Source organism: Homo sapiens, chromosome 17, assembly GCF_000001405.40.
Source record: "Homo sapiens chromosome 17, GRCh38.p14 Primary Assembly".
Taxonomy (NCBI): domain Eukaryota; kingdom Metazoa; phylum Chordata; class Mammalia; order Primates; family Hominidae; genus Homo; species Homo sapiens.
This window is the reverse complement of record NC_000017.11, coordinates 19,318,687-19,344,713: the sequence shown is the minus strand read 5'-3', so window position 1 is coordinate 19,344,713 and position 26,027 is coordinate 19,318,687. Positions and strand designations below refer to the sequence as shown.

At 50.9% G+C, this 26,027-nt stretch overlaps 2 protein-coding genes and 1 non-coding gene across 18 annotated transcripts in view, besides 7 other annotated features; 2 read left to right on the top strand and 1 right to left on the bottom strand.

The window, feature by feature from the left end:
* Positions 1-10,019, top strand: part of B9D1 (B9 domain containing 1) — a 43,219-nt gene extending 33,200 nt beyond the window's left edge. For 4 of the 14 annotated variants that reach the window (NM_001368769.2, XM_047435756.1, XM_047435753.1 and 1 more), the window contains 2 exons: positions 857-924; positions 6,966-10,019. In NM_001368769.2, coding sequence (NP_001355698.1) covers positions 857-924; positions 6,966-6,994 — 97 coding nt within the window. In that variant the 3' untranslated portion in view covers positions 6,995-10,019. Of the gene's footprint in view, positions 1-856; positions 4,610-6,965 lie in introns of those variants that run through there. The other 10 variants (XM_047435751.1, XM_047435754.1, XM_047435752.1 and 7 more) reach the window with 10 other exon arrangements.
* MIR1180 (microRNA 1180) lies at positions 140-208 on the top strand. Its single transcript, NR_031591.1, has one exon. It is a non-coding gene; the product is annotated as a microRNA 1180 (primary transcript).
* Positions 2,795-3,362: an enhancer, noted in NCBI's record as "H3K4me1 hESC enhancer chr17:19244665-19245232 (GRCh37/hg19 assembly coordinates)". NCBI's record gives its function as "activates a minimal SCP1, AML or CMV promoter by ChIP-STARR-seq in primed H9 embryonic stem cells {active_cell/tissue: H9 hESC(primed)}" and the evidence as "EXISTENCE:reporter gene assay evidence [ECO:0000049][PMID:30033119]".
* Positions 6,513-6,722: a silencer, noted in NCBI's record as "silent region_8287". NCBI's record gives its function as "represses an Ori minimal core promoter by ATAC-STARR-seq in GM12878 lymphoblastoid cells {active_cell/tissue: GM12878}" and the evidence as "EXISTENCE:reporter gene assay evidence [ECO:0000049][PMID:35858748]".
* EPN2 (epsin 2) overlaps positions 7,999-26,027 on the bottom strand; it is a 99,350-nt gene continuing 81,321 nt past the window's right edge. For all 3 annotated transcript variants that reach the window (NM_014964.5, NM_148921.4, NM_001102664.2), the window contains 4 exons: positions 15,827-16,003; positions 15,067-15,153; positions 12,646-12,861; positions 7,999-10,758 (listed from right to left, as the gene is read on the bottom strand). In NM_014964.5, the coding sequence (NP_055779.2) occupies positions 10,460-10,758; positions 12,646-12,861; positions 15,067-15,153; positions 15,827-16,003 (779 nt within the window). In that variant the 3' untranslated portion in view covers positions 7,999-10,459. The remainder of the gene's footprint in view (positions 10,759-12,645; positions 12,862-15,066; positions 15,154-15,826; positions 16,004-26,027) is intronic.
* Positions 10,113-10,884: an enhancer, noted in NCBI's record as "H3K4me1 hESC enhancer chr17:19237143-19237914 (GRCh37/hg19 assembly coordinates)". NCBI's record gives its function as "activates a minimal SCP1, AML or CMV promoter by ChIP-STARR-seq in naive H9 embryonic stem cells {active_cell/tissue: H9 hESC(naive)}" and the evidence as "EXISTENCE:reporter gene assay evidence [ECO:0000049][PMID:30033119]".
* Positions 11,705-11,754: an enhancer, noted in NCBI's record as "active region_11855". NCBI's record gives its function as "activates an Ori minimal core promoter by ATAC-STARR-seq in GM12878 lymphoblastoid cells {active_cell/tissue: GM12878}" and the evidence as "EXISTENCE:reporter gene assay evidence [ECO:0000049][PMID:35858748]".
* Positions 11,825-11,974: an enhancer, noted in NCBI's record as "active region_11854". NCBI's record gives its function as "activates an Ori minimal core promoter by ATAC-STARR-seq in GM12878 lymphoblastoid cells {active_cell/tissue: GM12878}" and the evidence as "EXISTENCE:reporter gene assay evidence [ECO:0000049][PMID:35858748]".
* Positions 12,431-13,203: an enhancer, noted in NCBI's record as "H3K4me1 hESC enhancer chr17:19234824-19235596 (GRCh37/hg19 assembly coordinates)". NCBI's record gives its function as "activates a minimal SCP1, AML or CMV promoter by ChIP-STARR-seq in naive H9 embryonic stem cells {active_cell/tissue: H9 hESC(naive)}" and the evidence as "EXISTENCE:reporter gene assay evidence [ECO:0000049][PMID:30033119]".
* Positions 14,516-14,710: a silencer, noted in NCBI's record as "fragment chr17:19233317-19233511 (GRCh37/hg19 assembly coordinates)". NCBI's record gives its function as "represses an EF-1alpha promoter that drives an FKBP-Casp9 reporter gene in an ReSE screen in HepG2 liver carcinoma cells {active_cell/tissue: HepG2}" and the evidence as "EXISTENCE:reporter gene assay evidence [ECO:0000049][PMID:32094911]".

The window sequence follows — 26,027 nt, the reverse complement described above, 5'->3', positions numbered from 1 at the left end:
CGCGGGGAGGGCGGTGCGTGGGCTTTTGGGTCGGCATGGTTGCCAGCGACCCTCGGGGCCGGGTGTGTCCGTGGGGGGACCTTGGGAGCTGTGGTACAGAGGAGGCGCGGCCGCGAGTCCCGGCGGGGCGAAGCCCGCGGCTGCTGGACCCACCCGGCCGGGAATAGTGCTCCTGGTTGTTTCCGGCTCGCGTGGGTGTGTCGGCGGCGGGGCCTGACACCCCCGGCCTCCTGGCCTCCCGCCTGGCCCAACTGGGGTCTGGGGCTGGGGAGGGCGCATGCTCAGCCTGGTGGCTGTGTGCCGCCCCTGGCAGGGCCTGCGGTGGGTGCCAAGATGGGAAGTGACATGTCCTGGACCCCACACTAGTGGGAGGTAAGGCTGAGGAGCCGTTCTGGCCCTTCTGCCCACCCCACAGACTCTCTGGGGTGGGACCCCCTTCCAGGGAGGCTGGAGGGTCACACTGTCCCCTCCCCTCCCCCACCTCAGCTGCTGTCACTTTTCTGGGATTTCTGGGGGTTCAGGTAGCACCCCCACCCCAGAATCTTCCTGAGCTCTCATTCCCAGTGAACCAAACCCATGGAAGCCAGAGATGGAAAAGCCTAACCGGCCAGCGGAGGCAGCGTGGCTGCAGAGCACATGAGGCCTGGCTAGGCTGTGTGACCTCGGCAAGGGACACCCCACGCTGGAGCCCAGCCACTGGGAAGGCTCTGCTTAGGGCCTGACTCCTGGTGGGGGTGGGGTGCGGTTGGAACAAGAGTGCTGGTTTCTGAACCGAGGAGAGCCCACATCCAGTGTCGTCCAAGACCAGGAATGCCCAGGTGGGGCCCTGCTCACCTGTGTTCTTCTGTGTTCCCAGCTGGTTCATGGGGCGGCGGCCCGAGTACACAGACCCCAAGGTGGTGGCTCAGGGTGAAGGCCGGGAAGGTAAAGCTCCCTCCCCTCTCTTACCCCCATCCCCCATACAGGTTACAGCCTGGGAGTGGGTGGGCCCAGGGTTGGGGTGAATGCCGGGGACCTGCCAGGCACATAGGAGCTAGCCCACAAATGTTCCCAGATGAGGGCCTGGTTGGAGCACAGAGGGTTTGTCATGTCTGCCTGTCCCGGCAGCCCCTTTACCTCCCAGTGAGGGGCTTGGGTCAGGCACTGTTGTCCCCATTTTACAGATGAGAACGCTGAGGCTGAGATTCCCAGATCAACCTGGGTCTCTCTCTGCCCCAGCCCAGCCTGGCTGATGCTGCCCTTCTGTCCCCAGTGACCCGTGTCCGTTCTCAGGGCTTTGTCACCCTCCTCTTCAACGTGGTGACCAAGGACATGAGGAAACTGGGCTATGACACTGGGCCTTCTGATACACAGGGTGTGTTGGGGCCCAGCCCACCCCAGAGCTTCCCCCAGTGAAGGCTCCACAGGCTGCACAGTCTCTGATAATGAAGGGCTGCCTTCCCGAAGTCAGCCGCTGCCCATCGGCCTGAGGGGCAGCCTGGTGGCCAGAGCTGGGGGCACACAGAATAGTTTTGTATAATAAAGTCTCATTTTCAGAGAGCCTAGGCCTGGGGCTGCCTTCTCTCCTGTTTAGCCCCTCCCCCACAGGAGCTGGGGGCTCTTGGGCCTTTCCTGGCCCCACCTCCAGGGCTCTCCCTGTCCCTACCCCTTGTGCCGTGGAAGCTGCCAGGAGACCAGACCGTGCAGCAGGATGGCATGTGGGATGGGAGCTTTGACATAACCAGGTTCTGCCACTCAAAGCTGTGTGGCCTTTTCTATACCGCAACACATTGTTCCTTGAACTAACTGGGCATGGCACCCTCCTTAGAGGCTTGGGGTTAAGTAGAATCACCCGTTCAGCCATGCTTCTGGCCACCAGCCTCCCTTGGCAAGGACAGAACCCTGTTATTGGGAGCTGGAATGGTGAGGTACCCCGGGGGATGGCAGACCCTCAGCCTGCCCACTCCCCTCTCTGCCCCCCTACCCACAGTCCAAGGATGGGGGCTGGAAACCTCTCAGAGGTGGGAGGCCGCTGGCTGGGGTCCAGCTTTCTGGCAGCCCCTTGGCAGGAGAGGAAGGTGAGCCCCCTGGCTCAACACCCTGACCTCTGAGGTTGTCCAGGCCCTTCTGGAAGCAGAGCCCCTTCAGCATTACTTTGGGAGGCCCTGACCCTGGGCCTCCCCACCTTCACAAGAACCCCTCGCACCTCACGAGGCAGCCCCAGGCCCTCTCTGCCCTGCCACTGAGCTTTCGGCAGACATGGTGCCCCAGCCTAGATACTGCCCTCAGCGGGATCCAAGAGAAACCACAGGCTCCTGGCAAACCCCCACCTCCCAGCCTCGCCCATGTTGCCCTGGACTGTCGTCATGGCACTTGCCCTGAGACCATCTGGGCCGACCCTCTTCTGCCTTTTATCTCACGAGCACTCCCGTGCCCTCCCCCCAACTCACTGTGCGTTCTGAAACTCATCGTCTGTTGTCAGCAAAATTCCTGTGATTCCATCTTCTCGGAATAGGAAGTTCCCTCTGCCTTCTGGCCTTACTGAAGCCCACTCAGTACCCTGCAGCCCTCTTAAGTGGAATCTTTTTCCTCCCACTCCCCATGTGCGGTGAGCCTAGAGCAGGGGTGTGTCCTTGCCTCTTCCTCAACCTCCTCACTTGGAACAGTCTGTCTTCACCTCTACCCCTCACAGCCAGGCAGGCATATCTCTTGTTACTGGTGAAGGCACTGCCTCCAAAGTCTGGATTGAGGCATCCCTCCCTCAGGCCAGGCCCTCCCTCATGTGGCGCTTCCCTGTGCTCTTCAAACCACCAGGCCCTCCAAGCTCCTGGCCCAGCCCCTTTTCGCCAACCATCAGCCCCTCTTTCCTTGCTTTCCTCCCAGCCCAGTTTAGAACTCTTGGTCATCTGCATGCACTTCCCATAGTGCCCTCCATCCTTCGTTTATGCTCACCTGGCAAGGTCTCCACCCTGGTGACAGCCAGCTGTTCCTTCGCCTGCCCTGCACCTGCCTGAGCCCCCAGAGCCACAACGGCTCGCGTTCCATCCATGGCCCAGGTCTGTGTTTCCCTAGACAACTCCCTCATGCATTCTCTGAGGAAACTTAACAGCCTTTGTCTCTTCAGGCCTCCAGCACCCTCCCTGCCAGCTTAGCTAAGGCGCTCCCTTCTGTTCCCACAACCACCCCACATTAGCTGCCTTCCTTACCCTACCTGAGGACATGCCTCAGGTGTGTGGGAGATACAGTGCTCTCAAGGGTCTTTCTTCTCCCCTTCTCCCTCCATCGTGAGTTTTCCTACACGGGCTCCTTCACGCCAGCCTCCACATGTGCCCCACGTGTCATGGGACGACACAGAGCAAAAGCCCAGCACCCTCAGCTGCTCCTGTCCTCTGCCCCATTTTATCACAGCTATCACAGCTCCCCGGAAAGCTGTCTTCTCTGTCCATGGCCTCACCTCACCCAGGGCACTGGCCTTGGTCCACATCAAGGGGACCTGAAGCTTCCCTGAAGCCTCTAGCCTGTGGTGTGCACGTACAAGCCTCAGGCCCCATTTGTCCAGCCTGTCAGCAGCTGGGAAATACTAAGTCACCCTCTTCTGGTTATGTTTAATTTTCCAATTTTTCTCAACATTACTGAAATGTCTAAATGTGGAAAAGTTGACATCATTTTACAGTGAACACCACATACCCACCACCTAGATTTTACCATTACCAATTTCCTGTTCCGTACTTGTATATTCACATATATCCAACTATTCATCCCTGCTTCAATCCATCCTATTTTTATTGCATTTCAAAATAAACTGTGAAATCAGGACTCCACCTTCTGTATATTTCAGCACACTTACCATTAACCAGAATCCAGTGTCTGGCTTTAGTGTGTTCTTTTGAGGGGACATTTACGTACAACAAAATGCGTAACTCTTTTTTTTTTTTTTTTTTTTTTTGAGACAGGGTCTTACTCTGTCGCCCAGGCTGGAATGCAGTGGCACGGTCCTGGCTGACTGCAACCTCTGCCTCCCGGGTTCAAGTGATTCTCCTGCCTCAGCCTCCCGAGTAGCTTAAAATTACAGGCACCTGCCACTGAAGCTGGCTAATTTTTGTATTTTTAGTAGAGACAGGGTTTCAGGGTTTCACCATGTTGGCCAGGCTGGTCTTGCACTCCGGACCGCAGGTGATCCGCCTGCACCAGCTTCCCAAAGTGTTGGGATTACAGGCATGAGCCACTGCGCCTGGCCAAGAATACTTTAAGAATGCACAACCAGGCCGGACATGGTGCTGACGCCTGTAATCCCAGCACTTTGGGAGGCTGATGCAGGCGGATCACCTGAGGTCAGGACTGTTAAGACCAGCCTGGCCAACATGGTGAAACCCCGTCTCTACTAAAAATACAAAAAGTTAGCCAGGCATGGTGGCGGGCGCCTGTAATCCCAGCTACTCGGGAGGCTGAGGCAGGAGAATCGCTTGAACCCGGGAGGTGGAGGTTGCAGTGAGCCAAGACTGTGCCACTGCACTCCAGCCGGGGCGACAGAGGGAGACTCCATCTCAAAAAAGAATGCACAACCCAGCCCCAAAGGCACAGAAATGTCACTGTCACTTCACAAAGCTCCTTGCATCCCTGCCCAGTCAAGGTAAGAGATGATGCAGTGAGATTTAAGAGGCTGAAGGCGCGAGTGCCCGGGAAGCCGGGGGGGGGGGGGGGTTGGGCATGTGGGACCCCCTCCATGAGGACAGTCGAGGCATACGGCCTGCAGGTCCACGCTTACTTGCTGTCCATGCTGTCGGTGTCACAAAGCTGCATGTTGACCAGCCTATCTCCCTTTTCTCCTGGCACACCAGAAGACTACATTTCCTAGGCCCCTTGTATCAAGGTGGGTCCATTTGGGTAGTTCTAGCCAAAGCAAAGTATGAAAAGGATCTTCACCACTGAGAGGTCTGACCCACTTCAGGGTCACACAAGCACTTCTCGTTCTTGTCCATGGCACCCTTTGAGGCACACATTGAAGAAAGCAGCATCATAAGGGAGGAGCCTGAGTCTGGGCACCCCAGCTTGCAGAGCACTGCCAGGAACATCTCCATTAGGCTTTTTGTGAGTGAGAAACACTCATAAGATACTGTGCTCAGCCAATGAGAGCTTGGGGTTATTTGATCCTGCATAGCCTATTCTATTGCAAATGATATGAAAATCAGGAGTGGGTTTCTGCTGTAGCCAAAAAACAGAAAAAACAAACTCTTGTTGGCTAAGCAGCTGCGTGGCAGGCAAAAAGAATACAGCTCATAAGCTGGACAGCAGGAGATCTATATTATGCAAGTACAAGACATTTGCTAAGACTCTCATGCTAACTTGGGAGGCAGGTTATGTGCCCCAGAGACAGCAGCTCTAGGGGAAAGGGACAGGCCAGATAGGATGTGCAGTGTGAGTTGGCTACTGTTGACTGCATTTTGGAATGCTATCACAGTAAGGAGGAAAGAACTGGCTAGTTTGCAAGCAGAAATGAAAGGCAACAATCTAAAAAAAATTAGCATCAAAAGGTTGCAAAAGACTTTCTCAAACTCTAATGAGAAAAGGTAAGATTCAAAATTGCTTTCAGCAATAAAGGCATAATAAAACTTCTCATCTGAACAAAATAACTTGGTCTTTTGGTAAATACGGAATTAAGGGGGTGGCTCTCCCATCATGATCCCAGATGGCCTCATGGTAGCTACCATTAAATTGAGAGAAGCATGGAGGTAAGGCAGCAAGGAAATAAGGCAGCTTATGTCTAGGAAAGAATTTTATGTGTGTGCTTGAGTTGTCCATTGCTGTGTAACAAATTACCCCAAAACTTTGTCACTTAAAACCACTATCATTTATCACTCATGATCCTACAGGGGACTGGGCTCAGCTGGGTGGCTATGCTACACTTGATTCTGGCTAGAGCTATTCCACTGAGCTGACCAAGATGATTACTCACATGGTGGGCTGTTGTCTGGGGCTCATGGGGGCTACTGACAGAACACCTCCGTTCTCCCCCATGTGGCCTCTCCATGTGTTTGAAGTTCTCATAGTACGACATGTGGGCTGCCAGCAGAACATGCCAAGAGGTCAAGCTCCATGTGCAGGCATTTATCAAGCCCCTCCTGCCATCATGGCACTGGCCCCATCTAGTCATATGGCCACGCCCATCAGGTGACGGAGACCACACTGGGAGACAAGGTCCATCAGGGGCCACCAAAGTAACACTCTGACCAAAATAATGCAGTTATTTGTACATGGAACTGATTAGAAGTACAAAGATTGCCACATTTTTGATGGAAGTGTGCAAAGTCCATGAGCCTGGACTGAAGCCTCTGGCTCACTCAAAACAGGTCCTGGCCTGGAACCATCCACCCACAGGCAGCAGGTGAGAAAGCTGAGCTTGGCCCAAGAGCTGCAGCCAAGGGAATACAAAAAAGGCCAGCTCCCCACCAGGGGGCAGAGCCCAGAGCAGGGCACCATCAGGTCCTTTCCCTCCTCACCGCAAGGCGACCTCAGTCTGTGCGGCAGCTTCCAGCACTGTGGGGCAGTCTCCCATTCTCTGCTCCTCCAAATGGAGCTGGACTGTGGGTACTGACCCCTGCCCTGCTTTGTTGTTATTGTTGGGGGAAGGGCACAGATCATAGGTCTTTCTAGTTTATAGGCTGTGTCTGCCTTGCTGGAGAAGGCTCTGTACTCCACAGAGCCCAGGACACAGGACCTTACTGTCTATGTTTGAGAAGAAGACTGAAATAACTCTCTGGGAGCCAGACAGTCCGCTGTGATAGAGACTGGCAATGTTAACCAAGCCCATTTCCCCACCTCCCACCCTCCACCACTAAGGAAGCCTGCACTTGCCCATCCCCACCCACCCCACATCTGGATGGGGGCCGAGGGCCTAATTCTGGCACTGGTGTGAGTGGCAGTGAGGCAATTCCAGGCCTGGCTGTAAGAAATCTATGCTTGACCCTTGTCCATTTTTCCCTTCATAGCCACCTTCAGGGCTGTCTGTCAAAGATAGCAGTGTTTCAAGATGAAAGCGGCTTGAGTCCCTGAGTCACTGACTTCTGTGAGAAACTTCCGCGGGAAGCCGCTGAGACCTGGAGATGTGTTACTGCAGCGTAACCAAGAGCATCCCACACACCCTTCTTTCTCTCCTGTCCCCTGCACTGAACGGGCACCCCCTGCCACCAGTCCCTAGCCTCCTAGCTCTGAGTCAAGCTTGTCTGCTTATCCTTGGGTGGACACCAGGAGCCAGGCACTTGCACAGAGAGCAGAGGGCTGCAGGGCAGTCCCAGACCTCCCTCCAGGCTCGTCTCAAGGCCTCTCCAACCCTTCCCATCAGGGTCTCCCAGCCGCCTCTGCCTCGGCCTTGCCTCTTCCCGTGACCAGAGCACCTCTTCCACCTCTGCTGCCTGGAGATGCACGTGTCCTCCCGCCGCTGCCCTCGTCTGGTTGGTGGCTCTGAGGCACAGGCCCTCTGTCGGTCAGCTGTTGCACAGCAAGCCACCTAAGAACCAGTGGCTCCAACAGGCCCTTCCTCTCAGGAACACGCAGTTGGCTGGGCAGCTCCACGCACTCCCTCCCTCTGTTGCCTCAGCTGACAGGCAGTGGCTTCCCAGAGCAGCTCTTCTGCAGCATGGACACAAGAGGAGGCAGAGCACAGGAAGCCTCTGGGGACCCGGCACACTGTCACTTCCACCTCATCCAAAGCAGCCTCCACCAGTGACAAGGCCGCATTAAGAGGGCGGACACAGAAGGGTAAAGGGCAGTGGCTAGCACTTCCCCCAGCACACCCGTGCAGGCCACCAGTCTCAGCACCTCACAAAAGGCACGCCTCCCACCCCCTTTCCCTGAGGTTCAGGGGCAACCAAATGCCCAGCTCACGCGGGCACTAGGACCAGGCTGGTGGCCTCAATAACTGCAGACCAAGCTCCACAAGAATCGGCTCCCTCATCTCCCACCTCTCCAGTGGCACAGGACTGATGAAGATGGGGTGGGAGAAGGACACAGCCAGAAACCGCATCATGGTACAAATGATAAATTATATTTATACAGTAAATAAGTATCAACAGTCAACACAAGTTCAAAACCAGCCACCGGCCTCTGGGACTGAGAAACAGCTGGGTGACTTCCTCCACCACGGTGCCCATCAGGAGGGAGCACGATGGCACAGGTGCAACATGCGTGGCAGTGGCCGGTGGCTTCATGATCAGTGCAGTGGGCAACAGGGACATGCACTCGGGATGGCCTGTGCCAGAAGATGGGGCAGGGGGCTGTCTTCTTGGGTCCCGGTGGCCCAGTGGCTGTCATGTTGGGGCCTCAAAGTCACATCATGAAAGACTCGTTACAAAAGAATCACTGACCCCAAGTAGTCGAGTCTAGTCTACTGACCTGTAAGGCTGGCCCAGGCCCTGCACCGTCTGAAGGAAAGCACCTTTCTGGGCAAGCATCCTGCCTCCCATCCCATTGCACCTCCCCACCCTTCCCCCGGCAGACGAGACCAGCCACCGGCTTACCCAAATGGCAGCGGGAGCCTAAGACCCAGCCGCAGGCCTGCAGTTCTGGCAGAAGGTGGCTGGTCAGGAACTCTAGACACGGCTCCTGGGACTGGAGAGGGCGGCCTCAGGAACAGCATGAGTGGGTGCAGTCCCCACTCAGAGCCTGCATGTCCCAGCAGCCCAGAGACCATTTAAGATCTCTCCTGTGCCGGTGCGAAGGGTAATCTTCTGGAACCAGAGAGGGGCTGGCAGGTGGTCAGCTGCCCTTAGAGCTAGAGGTGAGAAATTCCCATGGTGGAAAAAGGGCCAGAAACATCCACCAGGCAAGCTGCCCAGACACAGGATTGGGGGAATGTCCCCTCCCTGGGTAAAAGCAAGTCTTTTCTGGTCTTTAATGCACGACGTAATACTTTTACAGTGGTGGGTGAGGTGAGGACAGTAGGAGTTTGGAAGAGGGAGGTAATATTAGTGCATGTTTGTTAAAAATCCCTCCCAGGTGAATGACTTTTTTCTTCATCTCCAAAATACAAGAGAATTATTTTTAGGTCTCCAACTTAAAAATAATATCTGGAGTTAGCAGGTAGGTGGATCAGGGCCAGCCCTGGTCCCTTAGCCCCCCACCCCTGTCTTAGCCTAGGGACTGTTGCCCAGGGACCCGTGGGCACAGAAGCACCCCCCACCCCACGCCCTCGGGACAACTGCCATTTCCACATTATCCCCATCTTTAGCCTGAGCGTGGATTAAGACAGAGGAGATCACAGACACACAAGGTTAAAGATGTTTCTTCCATTTCAGATTTCCATTGTAAACAGAAGTCCTGTTAATCCCTGCATGCCTTTAATAAAAAAAAGGAATTAGTTGATAAAAATTGGTGAGTCACATTCATACATTAGATTTTTTTCTTTAACTTTCAGGATGTTGGTATATTCGTAAGAAAAATAGCCTCTCAGGATCTAGCCAAAAAGGCTGAAAGTCAATCAGTTTAGTAATTCACCAAAAACAGGAGCTAAAGAAAGGAAAAGGCAACTGGAGGCTAGGATTTTTTGTTGCTGTTGTTTTTTTTTTAAATAAACATCATCATCTATGTGTAATCAAATTCCCATATTTTCTTCCTATAAAGAATTTGCTTTAGTTTTTCAATAAGGCATTTTTTTGTCATCCAAACATCTCTTCCTTTTAAAATTTTCTTAGAGTTAAAACCATAAATAAGAGGATTTAAACCACTAAAATGACACGTGCCAACATCTTCATTCAGCCAGACCTGGTAAATTCTATCAAAACTAGACAGTTAAATAAGAACCACGTTATAAAAATATTAGCCAAAAAAAGACTATTAGATAATTCTGCAAACTCAAATATGAAACTGTACTAAACAAAATATGTGCAAAGGTACACAAGCATAGAGCCACGTTGGGGGTTATGCTCAGATTAGTTTTAAAGCTCGCTCTAGTGGATTTAATTCAAGAGTTGTCCACGGTGGTGGTGTTTACTTTGAACTCACACGAGTCAAAGAAAAATAAAATATGCACAACCACTTCCCCAAAAGGTGTCTTATGGAGCCGGTGCTTCATCGTGTCCACACCCAGGACTGCCTGGGGTGTCCCTAGGGCTGGGGGGTGGGGAGGACAAAGACAAGGCCACTGTCCCAAGTCCTGGGCCAGGCAACATCCTGGAGACCCTCGGGCTGAGGTTAGGGGCAAGGGCAACACTGATGACTCCACGTCCTCGTCCAAGGCCTCAGAGGAGCCCTGCCAGGACCTCAGTGCTTTGGAGGAGGTGGTGAGAGCAGGCCAGGCTGAGGGGCCTGCCTTGGAAGGCGAGGGTCTGAGGGTTGGGGCTGTAAAGACAGCCCTTTCATCAGGAAGCTGGAGCTGAAAAGCCCTAATACCCCTAATCCCCAAACTCTTGGATCCCGTCCCACAGACGAGAGTCCCTGCTCGGCATCCTCCAGCACAGGTGCTCTGGGTGGGTCCCAGGCCCAGGCACTAGAGAAGGAAAGGGTTGGTTGTGCCAGTGGCCTGGGCTGCTGATGGGGGTATACCCACACTGCCCACCATGTTCATCATTGCAGGGCCCAGTGGTGTCAGAGAGGAACCAGTGGCCCCCAGAGCTGGCTGTGGGGCCGCGGAGGTCATCGAGGCCACAGCCATGGACTCCACTCCTGGGCCAGGCCCAAAGGATGTGCTGGTCCCCAGGACTGGGCTCCCCCGAAGCTGGTTCAGTGTCAGCGGCTGGGGCTGGTTCACCTGGAAAGGGTTAACAGGGGCCGAGGTGGCGGGAGCACCTGGGGAGACAGAAGGAGGGGCAGAGGCTGAGCCGTCAGGGTGTGGCTTTCTGAGCTCCCAGGTCAGGGACTGCATGCGGGTGTTCTGGTCCCTGCTGTGCCCTCAGAGCCCGTGACAGTGCCGGCCGAGTCCATGGCAGACACTAGCAAATATCTGCTGACTGCATGAATCTGCACTTTAAGGATGAGGAGATTGAGGCTGTGAGAAGCCAAGTGATTTGTCCAGCGTCACAAAGCTGAACAAGGCCATGCCAGGAACACACCCATCTCGGGGCACCCTGGCTCCTCTGCAGTGCTGGCACCCAGGACACCTTCACCAGCCATCAGCTACCACTGCTCCCTCATTTTGTTTGCTGAAAGGGACATGGGACTGGCAGTGTGTGGCTCATGTGGCAGTGCCCACAATGCACCCAGGGATCCACATATGACACCGCGAAGGCTAGAAATCCTGCAGTCAAGAAGTTGATGCAGCTTTGTCTTTCCCAGTGTCTCCAGAATTTACCTCATACCAGAAAGCCTTTTCTTTGCAAAAGTGTGTGCGCTGCTGGCACCAACTCTCCCATGCAGCCTGGCCCTACCCTGTGTGGCCTGGAGAATGGCCCTGTATGTCCAGCAGAGTTGCCCAAACCTCCTCCATCTTGGCTGCAGCCCCCAGGAACCATGACTGGTGTGCAGCCAACAAAGCTGCCTCAGGCCTCCAGCCAGGTGCCCACCAAGAGCTGACAGACACAGATGACCACTGGAGCTCCTGCAGGGCCTTCAAGGGCTCTCTGGGCAGAAGAGGCATAAGGCCTCCTGGGGCAGACACAGACTCCTGGCTGGCTGAGGAGGCTGGAAACTAATCTAGTTCCACCCAGGGAACCACCTCCCCTGGGGGCAGCCATGTCCTCACCCATCTCAGGACCTCAGGGTTGGCCAGGACCCAGTAACTCCACACACCTCACCTCTGCCCAAGGGTCCCCAACCTCAGCCTCTGTAAGTTCAGTGGTAATTCTCCTCTGCAAGGTACTGTCAGGGACGGTGGCCCAAGATCCTCAGATCCCTACATGGTGGGGCCAGCCTGGGGCTGAACACCTGAGGGTGACACATTCCTGCCCTGGGGGAAGCCCAAGGCTTTGGGGAAACCCCGTGAGGAAGGGGGCTGGGTGGACTTCCTAGAAGGGAGTCATCTGAGCTAGGTGTCAAAGGATGAGGAAGATGCTTTCATTAGGGAAGAGGAGGGAGGACATTCCAGGCAGGGGAAACTGAGTGTGTAACAGCCTGGGCTTAAGGAAGGGCTCTACAGGCTGAGGGGCGCCAAGGGGCTGGATGTCACAAGGGTTTCATGCACACAGGAAGGGAAGAGGAGGGTGGGACCAGGCCATAATGGCCCTGGATACCCAATTGAACAGCTGGGGGCTTGGCCGGCAGCCAACATTGAGCCCTGAGGGCAGGGGGCAGACTCTGGCACCAGGAGTGGAAGCAAGGGACCTGGAGGAAGGCTTGTACCCAAGGGCTAAGTTACATTTTTCCCGAGAGAGGAATGCTACACGCCAAACCCTGGCTCTTCCTCACCCCCAGCAGCCCACCCTACTCCACCTGTCTTAGAACTGACATTCCCTCGAGGGTCTCACAACTGGGGGGGCACCAAGTCAGGGACAGTTTCTGCTTGGTAGTCTCAACTGAGAGGAGAGGAGCTATTTCCTACCCATACACTCCCCACATAACTGACAACGGCTTCCACACCCCACCCCATGCAGCACTGGCGAGGGCATACGTAATCATCTAGAGATTCCAGCTAGTCCCACCCCTTCCCCGTCACACAGTGGGAAGAGCCCCCAAGAGGCCTGCTGCACACCCATTCCCAGGCACAGCAGGCAATGGATGAAGCCTGGGATGAGAGCCTACCTGGTGCCAGGAAAGGGTTGAGGGACTGGGCTGGTGGGGCAGGCCTGGTCACCAGTGAGTCCAGGTTCACCAGGGCCGCGTTGGGGCCCAGGAAGGACTCAGGTGTTTTCCGGGCACTGCTGGGCTTGCTTGAGGCGACAGTCAGGGGTTGAGACTCAAAGGGGTCAGGGCTGGTAGTTCCATTGTTTTGGGATGGCAGAGAGGTCACAGATTCGGCTACAAGACAAGGACACATATGGCAGGGTGAGTGTGGCAGGGAGAGCCTAAGACTGTGTACTTAACACAAAACATGGCCTCCTGGGGACATGCCTGCCTGACAGCGCCACGTGACGACACACAGCCAGTCATGGGCTGGGTTAGATAAATCAAGTGTCCACATAACGAAACACCAGCATGCAGGAACAGAAGAATACCTAATGATAAGCAAAGAAAGCTTTATCAAAATACTAAAGCAGGTTATAAAAGAGTGTGTATAGCTCATTCCTCCAGAATACCAAGATGTCATTTTGGGTTGGAAGCTAGGCATGGGCAATTTACTTTTTTTTTTTTTTCTTACATTTTCCATTTACTAAATTTTCCACAATAAACATGAACTTCTTGATAGTAAAAAGAAAGCAAATTGTGTCTTTTAAAATTCAGCCCATAGAGGCAACACAGGCTGTGCTGAGCCAGGCCGGTAGGAATGTGATTGCCACGACGGGATGCTTCACGGTACAGGAATTCTTAACAACAGTCATTCTCTCACTTAGTAACCCCATTTCTAGGAATCTGGTCTAAGCAAATAATGTAAAATGTGAACAAGGTTATAAGCACAAAGAGTTTCACAACAGCATCATTTACAGTAGCAAAACCTGAAATCAACCTAAAATGTCCTCCCCCAAATTATTGAATTGTTGCTGAGCCATATAAAGAGAGATTATATAGCAACAAAGTATTTTTTAACAAGTTTTAAAGTCATGAGAAGATGTTTTCAATCTGTTAATCCACAAAAGTTGAGGCAAGGGGCAGGACAACTCTATCTGACAATATGAGCTGAGCAAAAAAGACTCAAAACAAAACAAAACAAAAAAACAAAACACCAATAACACCAGTGCACTCCAGCCTGGGCGATCGATCAAGGCTCACTGCAGTCTCAATCTCCTGGGCTCAAGGGATCCTCCCGCCTTAGCCTCTTGACTAGCTGGGACCACAGGCAGGTGCACACGACCACATCTGGCTAATTTTTTAATTTTTTTGTAGAGACGGGGGTCTCACTATGTTGCCTAGGCTGGTCTGAAACTCCTGGGCTTAAGCAATCCTCCCACGCTGGCCCTCTCAAAGTGCTGGGATTGCAGGTGTGAGCCACTGCACCGGCAGGGGATAAATGTTTCAAAAGCTGACATGTAACAATGGCCACGCTGCCTTCTCACTGAGGCACGGAGCAGGAGTCAAGGACAGGTTAGGCTATACTTTGGCCTACAGAGAAGACACATGGAATCTTATTAATGCAGCAAAGGAAAGACCCAAAAAAGCAGCACATTCTCAAAGCTGCCTCTGGTCTCTCAGCTGGGAGCTCTTGAACTGAGAGGGGTTAGAGGAGGTCAAGGGGGTCGAGCAGGGTCAACGGTGCCAGGCTGCTTGTACCTCACACCAGGGCCTAGCCAGGCTTGTGGCTACAGTTGGTAGGGAGGGATAAAAGAGAAGGGAGAAAAAGAAGAGACTGGGATAGAGGTGGTAGGGAAATTGGGGGAGGCAAGCAGCAGAAGCCAAGACAGGAAAGAAAAAAAGAGAGAAGTTGCCATGTGTGGCTGGGAGATGTGGCCCAGAGATGGACAGAGGCTGTCACACCCCAGTCCAAACAGGGTGTGTGAAGAATGCATCCCAGGCCTTCTCCCTCCACCCCTCCAGGCCCACCTTGGCCCACTGGCCACTTGGCCCACTGCATCCACCTGATATCCTTCCATCCCAGAGGCACACAGGGAAGGAAAACAGGTCTGGAGACTGGACTGTGGGTCTGCTGGGCTGGAGCGGTCACCTGGGAGGTGACAACACAGGGCAGAGGCTGGCCCCACTGATGCCCAAAGGTGGTTGTCTGGGAAAAGGAGGCCCTCTGAGGAGTGGAAATTGGCAGGAGGAGGGTGAATGGAAATGCTGGATCAGGCCAGAGGTGAGGCCCACTCTGAGCTGAGGAGGCCGGGGCTGTGGAATCTGCAGGAAGCTTTGGGGATCCTAACCTGGAGACATAGTCCTGGGGGACTCTACCTTGTGATTTTTAACTATTGATGTATGAATTCTTAGAATTAGAAACTTCAGGCTCCCAAGATCAAAATACAAAGAAAATGCAGGAAGCTGAAGGGTTTTGAAAGCTGATTATTATTTCTGCAATAACTCAGCTGGTCAAATGCACGGAGGATTATGGAAACCATCATCACCTGTACATACCTGTTTTTTTTGAAGTCCGAAGGTTGTCAAATTCAGAAAAGTCATCTTTAATTGTACCATTCAGATTACTGAAGAGCTCAAAGGACCCTGGGTGGACACAGAAGCCAATGACTGGGGGCATCTCACAGGACTTCATGGCAACTCCACTGCCCAGTGCACACCCTCAGGATGGGCTGGCAACAGGGGCCTCTCCCCGCTTACCCTACCTCATGGAGGAGAATTCTGAGAGCCAAAGAGGCAAGACAGCCTGGGGTCACCAGCACGCTGGGAGGGGAGACAGGGAGCCTGGCCTCCCAGGACAGGGTGTGGGATGCCCACCTGCTACTGCTTCTAACACCCTCACCCCAAAAGGCAAAGGGGTGCTGGCAGTGGTGGAGGTGCATCAAGCTGGGTCTGGTTGCTTGGATGAGGGTCTGTAGGAAGTCACCAGAAGGAGTGCCTGGAGGCCAGCCTGCCCAGCCCCCCAGGGGTGAGGACAGGACCCACAGGCTGTGGGCCCAGGGCAGTCTTCTCTCTCAACACCCAGGTGGAAGCCCCCTCAATTTGGAGGGAGGTACCAGCGCACAAAGCCTGGGAACTCGCACTCACTCACTCTCACACTGGGGCACCTGGGATCTGGGGATCAGGAACAAAGGCTAAGGGGGAGGAGGGGAGCAAATGCAAGCAAAGCAACAGGGCTGATGCCTAGGAGCCAGGAGCGGCTGCAGGGCCCGTGGGCGCTCAGAGGCCAGGCAGGAAAGTGGGTGAGTGAGGGGCTCACCAGAGACAGACACGGGCTTGGTGGTGGAGACTGCGCCCCACGCGTCAGAAGCTCTTTTCCCAGCACTGGAGGCAGGCTGCTGTGAAGCTGCCCAGGGGTCCGAGTTCTTGGGGACAGATTGTACGGTGGCTCCAGTGGGCACCCCCCATGGGTCAATGGAGGCAGCTGGCTTGGTACCTGTTGGAAGGCAGGGTCAGGGCTCAGAAATGCCTTCAGAGGGTCTGGGCAGCTGGGGTGAGAAGGGAAAAGGATACTGCCAGCCACACCAGGGTCTATGCCCTGTGCCAGGTGAGACAGCCATCAAAAGGGTACTGTCCCACGCCAGCAAAGAGGGACACAGCTGGGGCCCAGGGCCAACAACCCTGGTAAGGAAGCATGCTAGGCCAGGATGTCCCAGGATAACCTCTCCCTGTCCTCTAGTAATGACCAGAGGAAGCAGCTGAAAGAGGTTCTCTCCAAGCTCCCCACCATACAGGGGGCTTGCAAAGGGCTCCTGAGCTCAACCCCACTTCGATGGACTATCTGAAACAAACCTATCTCCCCACAGAATCCAGGCTCCCTCCTCAGACAAGGGGCCCCAGGCAGCCCTCCCACCTCGGCCCAGGCTCTGTAGAGGCACAGAGGCATCCTCTCCCCATGTGCTTTGAGTGGTTTCTGCTTTCTGACAGAAGCATATATAAATGGATGAGTCCTGTATAAAAAGGAATAAAACAAACAGCTACATACTTACCACCCAACTTAAGCAATAAAACACTTTCAAACAGGGAGTGACAAAATCAATTTAGTGGGTCACAACTGGCTTTAAAAAACAGAGAAAAAAATTTTTAAAAAAAGAAAAAACACACACAAAAAAACTAAAACATCTGAGTGCATCTAATGTTAAGTGTCAACGCTGTGATGTGCATCTTTATGTATAGACACAGATTTGTGTATACATGAGTACATATAAAATAAAACCAACATCTCCTTCCTTCTCGCGGAGCACTGCAAGTGTTCAGACACCACTGCCGCCTCTCAGGGACCAGAAAGTGCCTCCCCAATGACATTCCTACCCCAACCATTATGAACTGTTTATTAGCCTTTCTCTTGTTTCTCCTTCTAGTTTATCTTGTAGGGATACCTTTAGTTAGTTGTGCCTATTTTCTGAATACACACACACATATATATTATGTATATGTATGTGTGTCTAAATATGTGTGTGTATTCATTTATTTATCAGATAGGGTCTCACTCTGTCACCCAGACTGGAGTGCAGTGGTGCAATCACAGCTCACTACGCCTCCACCTCCCATGCTCAAGCGATCCTCCCACCGCCGCCTCCCAAGTAGCTGGGACTACAGGAATGTCACCACGCCCGGCTAATTTTTTTTCTAATTTTCGTCGAGATGGGGTCTCACCGTGTTGCCCAGTCTGGTCTCAAACTCCTGGGCTCAAGCAATCCTCCTGCCTCAGTCTCCCAAAGTGCTAGGAATACAGGTGTGAGCCACCATGCCAAGTCCCTATTTTCCGAACTTTATATGAATAGAAGCATTCTGTACACATTCCTTTGTGGCTGGCTTTGTTCACTCCACATTTTATTTGAGAGAGTCATCTGTGTTGAGGTGGAGCTGGAATTTGTTTTGTTCCATTCTATGAAAAAAAAGTCATGATTCCTCTGTTGAAGGATACTCGTTTGGTTTTGCTGCTTGTTCTTGTTCACATGTATACACGAGTTGCTGGGTCATGGGTACCTCTGCCTTCACCAAGGAATGCTACAACTATTTCCACATGGTGGCACGAGTTTATGTTCCATCCAGCAGTGGGTGCCAGTCTTGCCGCCCCAGGAGTTGCCTCATAACCTCTCTGATGCTTAGTATTAGCTTACTTTCCCATGTGTGCCAATCTGGTGGGCTGAAAAGTTATTTGATTGTGGTTTTGATGTGCATTTCCCTGTTCTTTAATGAGGCTGTGCATCTTTTCATATACTCATGGGTCACTCATGATTCCTCTCCTATAAGGTGCCAATTTGAGTCTTTTACCGATCGTCCCTTATGGTTACCTTCTTCTTGACTCATCCCAGCAGCATGGACTAGAGTCCATCCACTCCTCGCAGCATGGTATGCAGGGCCTCCTCTGTCGTAAGTCAAGTCTTTGTGGGCTTATTACTGGGCTCTCTACATTTACCTATTTCCGTCCTTGCACTTTTTTTTTTTTTTTTTTTTGAGACGGAGTCTCGCTCTGTCACCCAGGCTGGAGTGCAGTGGCGCAATCATCGCTAACTGCAAGCTCCACCTCCCAGATTCATGCCATTCTCCTGCCTCAGCCTCCCGAGTAGCTGGGACTACAGGCACCCACCACCACACCCAGCTTATTTTTTGTATTTTTTAGGAGAGACGGGGTTTCACCGTGTTAGCCAGGATGGTCTCGATCTCCTGACCTTGTGATCTGCCCGCCTTGGCCTCCCAAAGTGCTGGGATTACAGGCGTGAGCCACCACGCCTGGCCACTTGCACCTTCTTAATTATCCTCACAAACAGTGTTATGAGAATTCTTGATATCTGATACAGCAAATCACAATCTTGTTTTGGCTATTCTTGGCCCTCTGCTCTTCTGTAGTCATCTCAAAATCATCTTGTCAAGTTAAAAAACAAAAGTGAAGAAACAAAAATTAAATATTTTTGGGATTTTGGCCAGAATTGCATTGCATCCAAGATCAATTTGGGGAGAAGCATTATCATTACAATAGTGAGTTTTCCAAACCAAGATCACATGGTATCTCTGCATTTGCTTAAGTTTTAATATCTTTTGGTCAAATTTAATCTTTTTAATTTTTACCCTTTATCTCCCACAGATATTTGTACAACTTTTGTAAGATTTATTCCTAGGAACTAAGCATTATTTCTAGGAACTAGTATCTTTTAAACTTTTCATAGAAATCTATTTATTGTTATGCAGAAAAACTTTTGTATACTCTTTTGTACCCAGCAATCTTGCCAAACTGTTAATTAGAAGTCATTCCAATTATTGATTCTAATAATAATTCAAATAATTCTTAATTCTAATAACTTATCTGTAGAAATTTTTTCATGTTCTATGTACAATCCCATCACCTGCAAATGATGACTATTTAGTGTCTTCTTTCTAGTCCTTTATACTTTGTCTTTTTCTTGTCTTACTGCATTGGCTAGGATCACCAGTTACATCATCAAATAGAAGTGCTGGTAGTTGGTATCCTTGTCTTGCTCTTGATGTTACAGGATCAATTTTTAATATTTTACCATTAAGTTCAATGTTAGCTATAGGCTTTTTTCCTTTTAGAAGCCCTTTATCAGGTTATGGAAGTTTGCCATTATTCCAAGTTTGCTAGAATTTGGAAATAAATGGCTAATGAATTTTATCAAATGGTTTCTGCCTCTAAGATGACCACATGTTTTCTGTTTTAATCTGTTAATATGGTACATTTGTAAATTTTCTAATGAGTTGGTTCTTGCAAACAAAGTACTTCATAATGTACATCTTTGAAAATATTTCCCTGGCTTGGGTTTTGTAATTGTTTCTTTCCTTAGGATTTTTACATCTATATTCATAACCAGACTGGCCTGAAATGTTTGTTCTCACTGCACTGCCCTTGTCTGGTGTTGCCATTAGGCTTCTGCTAGTCTCATACAATGACTAGGAATATTCTTTATTTTCCTGTTCTCTAAAGGAGTTTGTATGAAAGTGGGATTGTTTCTTGAATATTGTTAGTACTTACTAGCAAAGCCCTCTGGGTGGATTTGCAGAAGGGGAGGATTTTTAAATACCGATTCCATACCTTCCATGATTACAGATTTCTATTTATAGGTTTTTTATTATTCTTCAGTTAGCTTTGCTGTTTCCTTTTTAATTTTATCCATTTTATCTAAGTTTTTGGATTTGTAAGCACAGAGCTGATCAAAGAGTCAGCCTCTCACCCGACATGAAATCCTGAGTGTGCCGGCAGTTATGCTGTTTCATTCCTAATGCTGTTTGTGCCCTTCCTCTTAAAAAAATTTCTTGCCAGAAATTTGTCTATTACTCTTTTCAATTACTGACTTGTCTTTACGGATACTATTATGTGTTTATGTTCTTTTCATTAATTTCTATCTTTATCCTTATAATTTCCTTTTATTTTACGTCAGTGTAATGCTATTCTAACTTCATTATATCTTTTTTACTAATGTGAACATTTAGAGCTATAAATTTATTTTACTATTGCTTCAGTTGTCCCACAAATTCTTATGTAAAAATATACTATTGGCCAGGCGCAGTGGCTCATGCCTGTAATCCCAGCTCTCTGGGAGGCCGAGGTGGGTGGATCACCTGAGGTCGGGAGCTTGAGACCAGCCTGATCAACATTGAGAAACCTCATCTCTACTAAAAATACAAAATTAGCTGGGCGTGGTAGCACATGCCCGTAGTCCCAGCTACTCGGGAGACTGAGGCAGGAGAATTGCTTGAACCCGGGAGGCAGAGGTTACAGTGAGCTGAGATCACGCCATCGCACTCCAGCCTGGGCAACAAGAACAAAACTCCGTCTAAATATATATTTAATTTGGTTCTAAATATATCTGATTTTCATTATAATTTTTTCTGTGACTCAAGAATTTAGAAGTGTTCTTAAAATTTTAGGTGTATGAAGGTTTTCTACTTATCCTTTTAACTGATTTTTTACATAAGTGTACTGTGATCAGAAATTGTGTTATATGTGATACCAATTTTTTGCAATTTGTTGAGACTAGCTTTTCTGTCTAGGACATCATCAATTTTTTCCAAGTATTCTGCATGTGACTGCAAAGAATGTGTATTCTCCAATTGCTGGGAACAACAAATTCATAAGCTTATGGATTGTGCCGCTCAAATTTTCTTATATCCTTATTACTTCTGAAATGTTCTCCCAAATTATTTCCCATTTCCGATGCTCTTCATTCTGTCCTGAAGATCTGAGTTTCCATCTGGTTTTCCCTCCTATCAGCCTGAAGAACTTCTCTTAACATTTCTGTGGTACAGATGTGCTGGCAACAAATTCTCTTAGTGTTTTATTAACAGATGTCATCCTTTCAACTTTACTCTTCAAGAACACTTTCACTGAATACAGAATTCTGGGGGTTGGCAGTTTTTGTTGCTGTTGTTGTTTCCAAATTTAAAATATCTTTTTTAAAAAAATTATCAATTCTTGGAAGAAAGATGATTTTGCTAGCAATGGCTTTCTAGTTGACTGTGTTTTTCTTGCAGCACACTGAAGACTCTATGCCACTCAGACATCTACTGTTGCTGTCAATAAGTTAGCTATCCATTTAGTTGCCATTTCTTTGTAATGAATGGCCTGTTCTCTGTAGGTTTATTTAAGGTATTTTCTTCCTCTGGTGTTCTGCAGTTTCCTGATGATATGTCCAGGTGGGGATTTCTTTGATTTATCTTGCTTAGGATTCACCAGGCTTCCTGGATCTGAGAAGGAGCATCTTTCCAAAATTCTGGAAAACCCTGTCAGCTTTCAAATATTAGCTCTTCTGAAACTCCAAACAGATATGTGTTAGGTGTCCTCACTCTGCTCCCGTGTTTACCCCCAGCCACACTGATTCCCAACTGCTTCCCAAATGCCTGGCATCTTCTGGGCCTCTCCGGCCCTCTTATTTTCTCTTCCTGCCTTCTCTGACTCCTCTGGAATCCCCCCCTTGACTTTTAGATCACTTATCATACAGCACCATAACTATTATTTAACTATGAGTCTCTCATGCACTGTAAACTCCCTGGAGTGAGGGCTACCTTCAGCCCTGGCACCAGACATTAGGGTGGCACCCAGCAAGCTTGTGACAGCCTGGCTGAGCTCTGAGGCCTAGAGAAAGGCAGCAGAAGGTGGCAGTGATGTGTCAATCTCAGAAGACCAGGGAATGCTCCCCTGAGCCTCCGAGACAACTAGTCTCTTCCCTCATTCCTACTCTGAATTCTACAAATGCTTCTCTTAAAAGCCCCAGCTCTGCTGCTCAAGGATGGACAGGTGAAGAGGAGACTCCTTGGCTTTCAAAAAGATGAACCAACTGCTAGGCATCCTACATGTAGCTTCATGCCTTCTCGTCTCTGAAATGCTGAATAGCTTTAGTAAGGGCCTATTAAGCCACACCAGCCACTACCTTTTTTTTTTTTTTTTTTTAGAGACAGGTTCTTGCTCTGTCACCTAGGCTGGAGCGCAGTGGTGCAATCACAGCTCACTGCAGTTTCAACCTCCTAGGCTCAAGGGATCCTCCCACTTCTGCCTCCCAAGTAGCTGGGACCACAGGCACACACCCCCATGCTGGCTGATTTTTTTATTTTTTGTAAAGATGGGGTCTCCCTATGTTGCCCAGGCTGGTCTCACAGGTTTCAGTTGTCCCACAAATTCTTACGTAAAAATATATTATTGGCCAGGCGCAAGGAGACACTGCACCTGGCCCACCAGCCACTATCTTGGTGGCCTTTTTCACTTTTGGCCGGGATCAGCTACTGGCTAGCTGTAGCAGCACTAGGAGGGAGAGGAGGAGAGTGCTGCCTTCACTCCTTCCCAAGCTTGCCCCGGCGATGGGGGCCTGGCCAGGCCAAAGCAGATGTCAATCTGCAAGCTTTGTTCCCAACATCCCATGGATACTTGTGCCTTTCGTTTCCTCATGGCCTGTCCACTCCTGTTTGGACTCAGGGCTTCTCCTGCTACTGCCCCAGAACCCACAACCTTCTAGAGGCTCCAGAAATAACTGTTTCCATCCAGAAGCTTCTTCTGACACTTCACTCCTCGTCTTCCAGTGTCTCATGCAGATCGTCCTCCCCCAGGACTGAAGCTGCCCTTGCCAGGTCCACCTCTGCTCGACATGGGGAAGGGGCTATCAGTAAACAAAAATCTGCCCCCTGCTGGAATCACACTGTAGAGACAAGCCCTCACTCTAACCCCCTGCAACAGGACACCTTGTGGGTCCTCAGCTCTCTGTCCCAGCTGGACGTAAGTGGCATGGTGGAAATGACAAATCAGGGAGAGAGCTGACTGCAAGCCGAAGAGCTGTGGTGTGACTTCAGGACTGCGGTGACACAACACAGAGGACACGGGAGACCTGGGGCCAAGTGCCAGGCTGATTCTGGCCCCCTGTGGAGCCTGGGGGAGTCAACATGCCTTCCTCACTGCCCATGCTCAGCAGCCCAGCTGTGCCTGGATAACAGACTGGAGCCTCGCTTTCCCTGCAGCCCTGACCATGCATCATCTCCCCTGCACAATATCTCACTCCCCAGCTACTATCCCTTCCCACTTGCCTCTGTCAGGGGACATGCCCCGGTTACTTCTATCCCCCACTCCTGCTTTCTCCTGCAAGGATGCCCTGGTTCTCCTTGGAAGAATTCTCCCCTCACCCACTTCCAGTCAGTCTCAAAAGGGACAGATCCTGCCCTGGCAACAGAAAAGGGTTCTCACTGGTTAAAGTCAATCTGCAAAGTGTCCCCAACTCCAGTCCCCCATCCCTAAATCCCAGAAATGGTACTGGAGCTACAGAGAAATCCACTCTCTCTATTCCCTGGGCTGTGTTAACTGGGACTATGAGGTGGGCACCAGAGGCAGCCACTGTGCGTGCCAGAGCAAAGGGTTGAGCTTCTGAGGTGAACAACACAGCAAAGGGGGTCTGAGTGTTGGTGGTCACCTCCTAGCCACTGGGTCAAGCTGAGGGCAGCATCACATCTCGAACAAACTGGCTCCCCTGACATACTGTATGTGGGGCACTTGCTGGGAAGGCCCAGCCCCCACTCTGCAGCCTCTATGCCAGCCCGCCATGCAGTTCCCACTCTAAACCCAGCTCAAAACCCTTCTCAGGGCACTCATGCCGCTTGTGTGCATGTGAGACTGCATCTGTCCCCCTTGCCAAAGCATGTGCTCCATGAGAACATCGGCTGGGTCTGCTTTGCTGCCCATCCCCGAGATCCAAGCCTGACACACAGAGGGTGTGCTCCATCACTAACTAGGGATTGAAGAGAGGTCACAAGGATCAAGGGACCCACAGGACCTCAGGCTGGCAGGGACTTTGCAGTTTATCTGCATCTCTGCACACTGGAGTTCAGTGACCACTTCTAACAGGTTCTGGATAAATGTCCAATTCAGGGGCTCAGAAACACAACCAGATTAGAGTGGCCCATAATCTCCATCCTGATTATCTAAGACATGGAGCTTTCAAGTGTCTTAGACTGAGTGGTATTCATGCACCCTGGGCCAGGGGGCACCAGACTAGTGGTTCTCAACCATGGTTCTTCTTGGGAAGCTCTTAGGGATTTTAGTAAAATACTGATGCTGTCCTCTGCATACACACAGATTCTGGGGTGGGCCTGAGCATTTGGATTTTTAGAAGCTACTGAGATGACTCAAATGGGCAGACAGGATGCATAAGAAACACTGAGCTCTGGGTGCACCCAGACCTCTCACCAAGCCCTCCTCAAAAATGAGGCCCCATGTGAGCACCCAGCTCAGACTTACAAGCCTGAGTGGGCAGATGCGTGGTGGAGACAAGCTCTGGTCTCCCACGGTCACCTTGTTCTATCCAAGCAACATTTGGTCAGCAGTCCCCAGGCCTGGCCCCAGGATGGCCCCTCCCTCTGAGATAGAGAAACAGACAGCCACTACAGCCAGCATGCGGGTCACAGGCAGCCATCAATGGCAAGAGGGCAAGAGGCAGGCCTGAGGACGGGGTGACCACATCCCCTGAGTAGGGATGTCTGAGCCATGATTTCAAAAATACATAAGAGTTTGCCAGGCAGACAATGAGACACAATATAAAGATTAGGCATTTAAGGGAATCCAGGATGCCTGAGCCCCTGCAGAGGCCCTCACCAGAGAGGAGTCTCTGAGCTCTGCTCCGAGCCCCAGGTCCCTCAGGCTTCGCCTTTCTGGCCTCAGCCGCTGCACACCCAGGCTCCCTGCAAAAGTATAATCTGTCGCTGGGCATGGTGTAATCCCAACGCTGCTCACGCCTGTAATCCCAACACTTGGGGAGGCCGAGGCGGGTGGATCAAGGTCAGGAGTTGGAGACCAGCCTGGTCACTATGGTGAAACCCTGTCTCTAATAAAAATACAAAAATTAGCTGGGTGTGGTGGCAGATGCCTGCAGTCCCAGCTACTTGGGAGGCTGAGGCAGGAGAACTGCTTGAACCTGGGAGGCGGAGGTTGCAGTGAGCCCAGATCATACCACTGCATTCCAGCCTGGGCAACAGAGGGAAACCTTCTCTCAAAAAAAAATAAAAATAAAAAATAAAAAAAAAAGGGGCCAGGCGAGGTGGCTCACGCCTGTAATCCTAGCACTTTGGCAGGCCAAGGCAGGTGGATCATGAGGTCAAGAGTTCAAGAACAGCCTGGCCAATATGGTGAAACCCCGTCTCTACTAAAAATACAAAAAAATTAGCTGGGCGTAGTGGCACTCGCCTGTAATCTCAGCTACTTGGGAGGCTGAGGCTGAGTCAGGAGAATTGCTTGAACCTGGAAGGCAGAGGTTGCAGTGAGCCGAGATTGCGCCACTGCACTCCAGCCTGGGTGACAAAACGAGACTCCATCTCAAAAAAAAAATTTAAAAAGTAGAATCTGTCCTTCCATCTAGACGTACTCTCAGACAGTGAGGTTCTAAACACAGTTTAAACTAATAGGTTTATATCTTTAAGAGTTAACACAAGGCATTTTAACATTTCTGGAAATTTTTTTTTTTTGAGACAGGGTCTCACTGTTGCCCAGGCTGGAGTGCAGTGGCATGGTCTTGGCTCACTGCAATCTCTGCCTCCCGGGTTCAAGCGATTCTCATGCCTCAGGTTCCCAAGTAGCTGGGATTACAGGCACACACCACCACACCTGGCTAATTTTTTGTATTTTTAGTAGAGACGGGGTTTCACCATGTTGGCCAGGCTGGTCTCGAACTCTTGGCCTCATGTGATCTGCCAAACTTGGCCTCCTAAAGTGCTGTGATTACAGACGTGAGACACCATGCCCAGCCAACATTTCCGGAAGAATTCTTTCTACCATGAACTCTGCAATATGTGCAGTATCTCCACTGCACGGGTTCTGAAGCACTCTCCATGAGCCAGCAGCACGCTGACCCACCATCCAGGACTCATGGGCCAGGCTTCCACGTGAGAACCCCACACTCCAGTGGAATGCCACCTGAAACTATTCCAGAGACTCTTCTGACACCTCCAGTTAGCTCTTATGGGCCCTGCTTCCC